Source organism: Homo sapiens, chromosome 8, assembly GCF_000001405.40.
Source record: "Homo sapiens chromosome 8, GRCh38.p14 Primary Assembly".
Lineage (NCBI taxonomy): Eukaryota > Metazoa > Chordata > Mammalia > Primates > Hominidae > Homo > Homo sapiens.
Window position 1 is genome coordinate 76,637,380 of NC_000008.11, and position 12,003 is coordinate 76,649,382.

The 12,003-nt window shown below is 36.2% G+C and overlaps 1 long non-coding RNA gene across 1 annotated transcript in view, besides 1 other annotated feature; it reads right to left on the reverse strand.

Annotated features, from left to right (window-relative positions):
* Positions 1–12,003, reverse strand: part of ZFHX4-AS1 (ZFHX4 antisense RNA 1) — a 72,397-nt gene that overhangs the window by 26,501 nt on the left and 33,893 nt on the right. The gene's annotated exons all lie outside the window — the stretch shown is intronic.
* Positions 3,874–4,375: an enhancer, noted in NCBI's record as "NANOG hESC enhancer chr8:77553488-77553989 (GRCh37/hg19 assembly coordinates)". NCBI's record gives its function as "activates a minimal SCP1, AML or CMV promoter by ChIP-STARR-seq in naive H9 embryonic stem cells {active_cell/tissue: H9 hESC(naive)}" and the evidence as "EXISTENCE:reporter gene assay evidence [ECO:0000049][PMID:30033119]".

The window sequence follows — 12,003 nt, forward strand, 5'->3', positions numbered from 1 at the left end:
GGGAGTGTAAATTAGTTCAACCATTGTGGAAGACTGTGGCAATTCCTCAAGGATCTAGAACTAGAAATACCATTTGACCCAGCGATCCTGTTACTGGATATATACCCAAAGGATTATAAATCATGCTCCTATAAAGACGCATGCACACATATGTTTATTGCAGCACTATTCACAATAGCAAAGACTTGAAACCAACCCAAATGTTCATCAATGATAGATTGGATTAAGAAAATGTAGCACATACACACCATAGAATACTATGCAGCCATAAAAAAGGATGATTTCATGTGCTTTGCAGGGACATGGATGAAGCTGGAAACCATCATTCTCAGCAAACTATTGAAGGACTGAAAACCGAACACCACATGTTCTCACTCAGAGGTGGGAATTCAAAAATGAGAACAATTGGACACAAGGTGGGGAACATCACACACCAGGGCCTGTCGCGGGGGTGGGGAGATGGGGGAGGGATAGCATTTGGAGAAATGCCTAATGTAAATGATGAGTTGATGGGTGCAGCAAAACAACATGGCACATGTACACCTATGTAACAAACCTGCACGTTGTGCACATGTACCCTAGAACTTAAAGTACTAAAAAAAGTATAAGAAGACACAATATTGTCACAATGCCAATTCTTTCAAACTGAATCTATAGAGTCAATGCAATTTTAATTAAAGACTTAGCAAGTTATTTTAAGGATATTAACAAACTAATTGTAAAGCTTATATGGAGAGATAAAAGACCCTGATAAGCCAACACAATACTGAAGAGGAATAAAGTTGGAGGACTGATTTCAAGGCTTACTATCAAGCTACAGTAATCAAGATAGTGTGGTATTGGGCCAGGTGTGGAGGCTCATGCCTGTAATTCCAGAACTTACAGAGGCTTAGGTGGGAGAATTACTTGAGACCAGGAGTCTGAGACCAGCCTGGGCAATATAGCAAGACCCCATCTCTACAAAAAATGAAAGCCAGACACAATGGCATGATGGCACGTGCCTGTAAGTTCCAGCTACTTGGAAGGCTGAGGCAGGAGGATTGCCTGAACACAAGAGTTTGGGACTCCAAAGAGCTGTGGTCATGCCACTGCCCTTTATCCTGGGTGACAGAGTGAGACCCCATCTCTTAAAAAAAAGATATAGTATTGGCAAAAGAATACGCAAATAGATCAATGGAACAGAATAAAGAGCAGATGGAGACTCACATACATATAGTCACCTAATCTTTGACAAAGGAGCAGAGACAATATAGAGGGAAAAAGATAGTCTTTTCTACAAATGGTGCTGGATCAACTACATATCTACATACCAAAAAAATGAACCTGGGCACATAACTTACACCTTTCACAAAAATTAACTCAGAATGAATTTGTGTTTTACTTAAATGTAAAACACAAAAGTATAAAGCTTCTAGAAGATAGCATAGGAAAAAATCTAGGTCACTTTGGGTTTGTCAATAACTTTTTAGGTACAGCATCAAATGCATGATCCATGAAAGATGTAATTGATAAACTGGACTTTATGAAAATAATAAAAATTCTGCTCTGTAAAATACACTGACAAAGGAATAAACAGATAACCCACAGAGTGGGAGAAGATACTTAAAATCCTGTATCTGATAAAGAATTGTTATCCAAAAATACACAAAGAACTTTCAAAACTCAACAATAAGAAAAATACAATTAAAAAATAGGCCAAAGGTCTGAATGGACACCTCAACACAGTGAATATATACGTGACACATAAATACACAAAAGTATGTTTAACATCAAATGCTATTAGATAATTGCAAATTAAGACAAAAAAAAGATAAAGCTGAGCAAGATGGCAGAATAAAAGCCTACACTGTTTGCCCCCACTGTTGGAACACCAAATTTTAACAACTGACTGCACACAGAAAAGCATCATGACAAGAACCAAAAATCAAGTGAGCAATCACACTACCAGGTTTTAATTTCATATCACTAGAAGAGGCATTGAGGAAGGCCGGAGAGACAGTCTTGTATTGCTAACAACAAGTCTGCAAAAACCACAGTGTTATTGGGCTTGAGGCCCAAGTCCCTTCAAATTCTTGGACAGTCCTCTGATATGGTTTGGCCATGTGTTCCCACTTAAACTTCATTTCAAATTAAATCCCCACGTGTTGGGAGAGGGCCCTCCTGGGAGGTAATTGAATCATGGGGGCAAACTTCTCCTTGCTGTTCTCATGATAGTGAGTGAGTGTTCACAAGATCTGGGCGTTTGAAAGTGTGTAGCACTCCCCCCTTCACTCTCTCTCTCCCACTCCACCATGATAAGTCATAGACATGATTGTCTCCCCTTCACCTTCCACTATGATTGTAAGTTTCCTGAGGCCTCCCAGCCATGCTTCCTGTTAAGCCTGTGGAATTGTGAGTAAATTAAACCTCTTTTCTTCATAAATTATCCAGTCTCAGGTAGTTCTTTATAGCAGTGTGAGAACAAACTAATACACCCTCCCAAGGAAAAAAGATACAAACAAGCTCAGACTATGAAGACTACAATACTACCTAACTCTTCAATGCCCAGACACAGACAACCATCTACAAGTATTAAGACCATCCAGGAAAACATACTTCAATAAATTAACTAAATAAGGCACCAGGGACCAATCCTGGAAAAACAGAGATATATGACCTTTCAGAAAATTGAAAATGCTGTTTTGAGGAAACTCAAAGAAATTCTAGATAATACAGAGAAGGAATTCAGAATTCTATCCGATAAATTTAGGAAAGATTGAAATAATTTGAACAAATCAAGTAAAAATTGTAGAAATTATATAGTTGAAAAATTCAATTGACATGTTGAAGAATTCTTAATAGTGTTGAAGTAGAATTGATCAAGCAGAAGAAAGAATTAGTGAGCTTGAAAACAGACCAATTGAAAATACACAGTCAGAGAAAACAAAAGAAAAAGAATAGAAAAACAATGAAGCACACCTACAGAATATAGAGAATAAGCCTCAAAATGTCAAATCTAAGCATTTTTGACCTTAAAGAGGAGGTAGAGAAGGACATAAGGGAAGAAAGTTTATTCGATGGGATAACATAGAGAACTTCTCAAACCAGAGAAAAACATCAACACTCAACTACAAGAAGGTTATAGAACACCAACCAGATTTAATCCAAACAAGACTAACTCAAGTCACTTAATAATCAAACCCCTAAAGATCAAGGATAAAGAAAGAATCCTAAAAGCAACAAAAGAAAAGCAATAAATAACATACTAAGAAGCTCCAATACATCTGGCAGCAGACTTTTCAGTAGAAACCATATAGGCAAGGAAAGAGTGGCGTAGTATATTTCAAGTGCTAAAGGAAAAAAAAAAAAACTTTTCCCCTAGAAGAATATATTCATGAAAATATCCTTCAAATGTGAAAGAAAAAACCTTTCCCAGACAAACAAAAGCTGATAGATTTCATCAACACCAGACCTGTCCTACAAGAAATGCTGATGGGAGTTCTTCAATCTGAAAAAAAAGAGGATGTTAGTGAGCAAAAAGAAATTGTATGAAGGTACAAATTCATTGGTAATAGTAAGCACACAGAGAAACATAGAATAGTATAACACTATAATGGTGGTGTGCAAACTGCTTAAGTAGAAAGACTAAATGATGAACCAATCAAAAATAACAACCACAACAAGTTTTCAAGACACAGAAAGTACAATAAGACATAGAGAAACAACAAAACATAAGAGTTTTTGTTAGTTTTCTCTTCATGTATTTGTATGGTTGTACATGCAATCAGTGTTAAGTTGTCATCAGTTTAAAATAATAGGTTATAATGCAGTATTTACAAGCTATCAGGGGAACTAGCCCCCAATATTTCAGCATAGGTTCTTTCTATTTTCCCTAAGTGTTGGCCAGTCTGAGAAATAAGAGAAAGAGTACAAAGAGAAATTTTACAGCTGGGCCACTGGAGGTGACATCACATATTGGCAGGTTCCATGATGCCCACCTGAGTCGCAAAACCAGCAAGTTTTTATTAGCTATTCTAAAAGGGGAAGGAGTGTACGAACAGGGAGTAAGTCACAAAGATCACATGCATCAAAGGGCAATAAAAGATCACAAGGCAAGGCAAAATTAGAATTACTGATGAGGGCCTATGTCCTGCTGTGCATGCATTGTCTTGATAAACATCTTAACAGGAAACAGGGTTCCAGAGCAGACAACCGTTCTGACTAGAATTTACCAGGCTGGAATTTCCCAATCCTTGTAAGCCTGAGGGTACTGCAGGAGACCAGGGCGTATTTCAGTCCTTATCTCAACTGCATAAGACAGACACTCCTAGAGTGGCTGTCTATAGACCTACCCCCAGGAATGCATTCCTTCCCCAGGGCTATCAGTTATTAATATTCCTTGCTGGGAAAAGAATTCAGTGATATTTCTCCTACTCACACGTCCATCTATAGGCTCTCTGCAAGAAGAAAAATATGGCTCTATTCTGCCCAACCCCACAGGCTCTCTGCAAGAAGAAAAATATGGCTCTATTCTGCCCAACCCCACAGGCAGTCAGACCTTATGGTTATCTTTCCTTGTTCCCTGAAAATCTCTGTTATTCTGTTCTTTTTCAGGGTGCACTGATTTCATATTGTTCAAACACACATGTTTTACAAACAATTTGTACAGCTAATGCAATCATCACAGGGTCCTGAGGTGACATACATCCTCAGCTTATGAAGATGACTGGATTAAGAGATTAAAGTAAAGACAGGATATAAGAAATTATAAGAGTATTGATTGGGGAAGTGATAAATGTCCATGAAATCTTCACAATTCATGTTCAGAGACTGCAGTAAAGACAGGCATACAAAATTATAAAAGTATTAATTTTGGAAACTGATAAATGTCCATGAAATCTTCACAATTTATGTTCTTCTGCCTCAGCTCCAGCTGGTCCCTCCATTTGGGGTCCCTGACTTCCTGCAACAACAAGCCACATGGTAATCTCAAATCAAAAAACATACAATGGATACACAAAAAATAAAAAGCAAGAAATTATAGCATATCACCAGACCAAATCACCTTTACCAAAGAGAAGACAGGGATAAAGGAAAGAAGAAAGAAAAGATTGCAAAACAACCAGAAAAAAGAAATAACATAATGGCAGGGGTAATTTCCCACTTATCAATAATAATATTAAATGTAAATGGACTAAACTCTCCAATCAAAAAATACAGAGTGGCTGAATGGATGAAGAAACAAGACCCAATGATTTGTTGCCTATAGGAAACATAAGTCACCTAAAAAGATACACATAAACTGAAAATAAAGGGATGGAAAAAGATATTTTATGCCAATGAAAACCAAAAAAGCATGGGAGTAGCTATTCTTATATCAGACAAAATTGATTTCAAGATGAAAACTGTTAGAAGAGACAAAGAAGGTAATTATATAAAGGGGTCTGTTCAGCAAGAGGATATTATAATTTTAAATATATATGCACCCAACACTAAAACACTCAGATATATAAAGAAAATATTATTAGAGCTAAAGAGAGAGACAGACCCCAAGTTTAACTTCAGGGGTACATGTGCAGGTTTGTTACACAGGCCAACTGTGTCACAGGAATTTGTTGTAGAGACTAGTTCATCCCCAAGATATTAAGCCTAGTACCCATTTATTATTGTTCTTGATTCCCTCCTTCTCCCACCCTCCATCCTCTGATAGATTCCAGTGTCTGTTATTCCTCCTGCTATCACCCATGTGTCCATGTGATCTCATCATTTAGGTCCCACTTATAAGTGAGAACATGTGGTATTTGGTTTTCTGCTCCTATGTTAGTTTGCTAAGAATGATGACTTCCAACTGCATCCATGTTCCTGCAAAAGACATGATCTTGTTCTGTTTTATGGCTGCATATCTATATATATATATATATATCACATTTTCTTTATCCAGTCGACCACTGATGGGCATTTAGATTGATTCCATGTCTTTGCTATCATGAATAGTGCTGTGATGAACATACACATTCACATGTCTTTTTAACATAAAATTTTATATTCCTTTGGGCATATACCCAGTAATGGAATTGCTGAGTCAAATGATACCACTTTCTTTAGGTCTTTGAGGAATTGGCACACTATCTTCCACAATGGTTGAACTAATTTACACTCCTGCCAACAGTGTATAAGCATTCCCTTTTCTCTGCAATCTTGCCAGCACCTATTATTTTTTAACATTTTAATAATGGCCATTCTGACTGGTGTGAGATGGTATCTCAGTGAGGTTTTGATTTGCATTTCTCTATTAATCAGTGATATTGAGCTTTTCTTCATATGCTTATTTATTGGCTGCATGTATGACTTGTTTTGAAAGGTGTCTGTTCATGTTCTTTGCCCACTTTTTAATGCAGTTGTTTGCTTTTACTTGTAAATCTGTTTAAGTTATAGCTGGAGACTTCAATACCCCACTTTCAGCATTGGACAGATCTCTGAGACAGAAAATCAACAAAGAAATATTAAATGTAATCTGCACTATAGAACAAATTGATCTAATAGATATTTACAGAACATTTTATCCAACATCTGTCAAATACACACTCTTCTCAGCATGTGGATCATTCTCAAAGATAGTCCATATATTAGGTCCTTAAAAAGTCTTAAATTATTCAAAAAATTGAAATAATATCAAGCATCTTATCTGACCACAATGGAGTAAAACTAGAAGTCAATACCTAAAAGAATGTTAGAATATATACAAAAACATGAATATTAAATGGTATGCTCCTGAATGACTAGTGAGTCAATGAAGAAATTAAGAAGAATATTTAAATAATTTTTCAAACATATAATTTTAACACAGCATCCCTAAACCTGTGGGATACAGCAAAAGCAGTACTGAGTAAAGTTTACAGCTGTAAGTGCCTATATCAAAAAAGATGGAAACATCAAATAAATAAATGAATGAAACAGCATCTTAAAGAACTAGAAAAGCAAGAGGAAACTAAACTCAAAAGTAAGAGAAGAGATACAAATCAGAGCAGAAATAAATGAATTTGAAATGACAAAAACAATACAAAAGATCAATGAAACAAAAAGTTGGTTTTTTGAAAAAATAAACAAAATGGAAAAACTTTTAGTCGGACTAGGAAAAAAAGAGAGAAGACCCAAATAAGTAAAATCAGAAATGAAGAAAAAAAAGACATTACAATTGACAACACAGAATTCAAAGGAACATTAGTGGCTACCATGAACAACTATATACCAATAAATTGGGAAATTTAGAAGAAATTGATACATTTCTAGGCACATACAACCTACCAAGATTGAAGCATGAAGAAATCCAAAACCTGAACAATCCAATAACAAATAACAAGACCGAGGCCCATAGTGAAAAGTTGCCCAGTTTAAACAAAAAAAAAAAAAAAAAAAGAAGAAAGCTGGGAACTGATGGATTCACTGCTGAATTCTACCAAACATTTATAGAAGAACAAATACTAATCCTACTCAAAGTGTTCTGAAAAATGAAGGATGAGTGAATGCTCTCAAACTCATTGTATGAAGCCATTATTATCCTGATACCAAAACCAGACAAAGACACGTTTATAAAAGAGAAAATGATTTAGTTTTCTAAATCATGAGTAAATGATTTAGTTTTCTAAATCATGAGTAAATGATTTAGTTTTCTAAATCATGAGTAAATGATTTAGTTTTCTAAATCATGAGTAAATGATTTAGTTTTCTAAATCATGAGTAAATGATTTAGTTTTCTAAATCATGAGTAAATGATTTAGTTTTCTAAATCATGAGTAAATGATTTAGTTTTCTAAATCATGAGTAAATGATTTAGTTTTCTAAATCATGAGTAAATGATTTAGTTTTCTAAATCATGAGTAAATGATTTAGTTTTCTAAATCATGAGTAAATGATTTAGTTTTCTAAATCATGAGTAAATGATTTAGTTTTCTAAATCATGAGTAAATGATTTAGTTTTCTAAATCATGAGTAAATGATTTAGTTTTCTAAATCATGAGTAAATGATTTAGTTTTCTAAATCATGAGTAAATGATTTAGTTTTCTAAATCATGAGTAAATGATTTAGTTTTCTAAATCATGAGTAAATGATTTAGTTAAAGTTGTTTGGTAGTAGGGTTGGTTGGGTTTGGAACTAGGGTTAGATCAGGTGGTCAAATTGAGTTGAAATTTCCCAGGTGTAAACTGGGTGCTTTATGTTAAGCTACACCTTGGTTCGTCCAAGTGCACTTTCCAGTACGCTTACCATGTTACGACTTATCTCCTCTATATAAATGCATAGGGGTTTTAGTTAGGCAAACATCCCTGATGACTATTGATGCAAAAATCATTGACAAAATACCAGCAAATCAAATTCAACAACACATTAAAAAGATCATTCATTATAACCAAGTGGTATATATCCCTAAGATTCAAGAATGATTTATCACATGCTAATCAATCAATGCAACACATCATATCAATAGAATGAAGGACAAAAACCATATGATTAATCAATTGAAACTGTAAAAACATTTGATAATGTTCAACATCTCTTCATGATAAAAAAAACCCTGAAATATCTAGGCATAGAAGGAACATAAAGGCCATATTTGACAGTCCCATAACTAGTAATATACTGAACAGGGGAAAATGAAAAGCCTTTCTTCTTAAATACTGAACATGACAAAGACTCCCACTGTTATTCAACATAGCACTGGAACTCCCAGCTAGAGCAATCAGACAAAAGAAAGAAACAAAAAACATCCACATTGGAAAGAAAGAAGTCACATTATGTTTATATGCAGATGATAGGATCTTATTTTTGGAAACACCAAAACATTCCAACAAAAAAAAAAAAACTATTAGAACTGATAAATTCAGTAAAGTTGCAAGACACAAAATCTACATACGAAAATAAGTGGCATTTCTATATGCCAACAGTGAACCATCTGAAAAAGAAATCTCAAAAAGAATCCCATTTACACCAGCCACAAATAAAATTAAATACCTAGAAATTAACCAAAGAAGTGATAGATCTCTATAATAAAAACTATGTAACACTGATGAAAGAAATTGAAGTGGTCACAAAAAATAGAGTGACATTTCATGTTCATGGATTGGAAGAATCAATGTTGTTAAAATGTCCATACTACTCAAAGCAATCTACAGATTCAAAGCAATCCCTATCAAAATTCCAATGACATTCTTGAAAGAAATTTTTAAAAAATTCCTAAAATTTATATGGAACAACAAAAGACCCAGAATAGCTAAAGCCTGGGTAAAAAGAATAAAACTGGAGGAATCACAATACCTGATTTTAAATTATACCACAGAGCAATGGTAACCAAAGCAGCATTGTACCGGCATAAAAGCAGACATATAGACCAATGGAAGATAATAGAGGACCCAGAAACAAATCCACTTACCTACAGTAAAGTCATTTTTGATAATTGTACCAAGAACAGCCACTGGGGAAAAGATAGTATCTTCAATAAATGGTGCTGGGAAAACTGGATATCCAAATGCAGAAAAATGAAACTAGACCTCTATCTCTTGCCATATAAAAAATCAAATCAAAGTAGGTTAAAGGCTTAAATATAAGACCTCAAACCATGAAAATGCTACAAGAAAAAATTGGACAAACTCTCCAGAACATGACTCTGAGCAAAAATTTCTTGAGTAATACACCACAAGCACAGGCATCCAAAGCAAAAATGGACAAATAGGATCACATCAAATTAACAAGCATCTGCACAGCAAAGGAAACAATTAACAAAATGAGGAGGCAACCCACAGAATGGGAGAAAATATTTTCAACCTGCCCATCTGACAAGGGATTAATAACCAGAATACACAGGAAACTCAAACAATTCTATATGGAAAAAAAACCAACTAATAATCTGATCAAAAAATGGGCAAAAGATTTGAATAGACATTTCTCAAAAGAAGACATACAAATGGCAAACAGGCATATGAAAAGGTGCTTAACATCATGGATCATCAGAGAAAGGCAAACTAAAACTACAATGAATATCAGTTAAAGTGGCTTTTATCCAAGAGTCAGGCAGTAACAAATGCTGGTGGGGATGTGGAGAAAAGGAAAAACCCTTGTACACTATTTATGAAAATGTAAATTAGTAAAACCGCTATGGAGAACAGTTTGGAGGTTCCTCAAAAAAGTATAAATAGATCTACCATATGATCCAGTCCCACTTCTGAGTATATACCAAAAAAAAAAAAAAAAAGGAAATCAGTATGTTAAAGAGATATGTATACCCTCATGTTGTTGTGACACTGTTCACAATAGCCAAGATTTGGAAGCAACCTAAGCGTTCATAAACAAATGAATGGATAAAGAAATGTGATACATATACACAATGGATGATATGGTTTATCTTTGGTTTTGTGGCCTGGACCCAGGGTCCCATTGCCCTGTGCAACCTCCGGACACTGCTCCCTGTGTCCCAGCCACTCCAATTCCAGCTGTGCCTAAAAGGGCCCCAGATACATCTCACATTGCTGCTCCAGAGGGTGCAGGCCGCAGGTCTTGGCAGCTTCCACATGGTGTTAAGCCTGCGGGTATGCACAAGGCAAGAGATGAGGCTTGGGATCCTCGCCTAGATTTCAAAGCATATATGGAAATGCCTGGCAGTACAGGCAGAAGTTTGTTTCAGGGGCCGAACTGTCATAGAGAACCTCTCCTAGGGCAGTGTGGAAGTGAAATGTGGAGTTGGAGCCCCTACACAGAGTCTCCACTAGGGCACGGCCTAGTGGAGCTGTGAGAAGAGAGCCACTCTGCTCCAAAACCCAGAATGGTAGATCCACCAAAAGCTTGCACTGTGCACTTGGATAAGCCACAGGCACTCAACGCCAGCCCATGAGAGTGGCTGCAAGGGCTATACCCTGCAGAGCCACAAGGGTGGAGTTACCCAAGGCCTTGGGAAACCAACCCTTGCATTATTAGTGTGGTCTGGGTGTGAGATGTGGAATCAAAGGAGATTATTTTGGAGCTTTAAGATTTAATGACTGCCCTGCTGGATTTCAGACTTGCATGGGGCCTGTAGCCCCTTTGTTTTGGCCAATTTCTCCATTTTGGAATGGAAGCATTTGCCCAATGCCTGTATCCTCTTGTATCTTGGATGTAACTAACTTTCGATTTTACAGGTTCATAGATGGAAGAGATTTGCCTTGTCTCAGATCAGACTTTGAACTTGGACTTTTGAGTTAGTGCTGGAATGAATTAAAACTCTGAGAGACTGTTGGGAAGGCATGATTGTGTTTTGAAATGTGAGAAGGATATGAGATTTGGGAGTAGACAGGGCAGAATAATATGGTATAGCTCTGTGTCCCCACCCAAATCTCATATTGAGTTGTAATCCTCTATTTTGGAGGAGGAGCTAGGTGGGAGGTGATTGAATCATGGGGATTGGCTTCCTTCTTGCTGTTCTCCTGATAATGAGTGAGTTCTCATGAGATCTGGTTGTTTAAAAGTGTGTAGCATTTCCCCCTGCACACTCTTCCTCCTGCTCTGGCTGTGTAAGATGTGCTTCCTTCCTCTTCCTTACCTTTCACCATGATTGTACATTTCCTGAGGCCTTTCCATTCATGCTTCCTGTACAGACTGCAGAACTGTGAGCAAATTAAACCTCTTTTCTTTATAAATTACCCAGTCTCAGGTAGTTCTTTATAGCAACATGAGAAAGGATTAATACAATGGAGTACTATTCAGTCATAAAAAATGAGATTCTGTCATTTGCAGCAGCATGGATGGAACTGGAGGTCCTTCTGTTTAGTAAAATAAGTCAGGCACAGAAAGACAAACATATGTTCTCACTTACTTGTGGGATCTAAAAATTAAAACAATTGAACTCATGGAGATAGAGAATAGAAGAATGGTTACCAGAGTCTGGGAAAGGTAGTGGAGGAGTGTAGGCGAGGTGGGGATGGTTAATGGGTACAAAAAAATAGCTAGAAAGAATGAATAAGACCTAGTATTTGATAACACAACAGGGGGACTATAGTTTA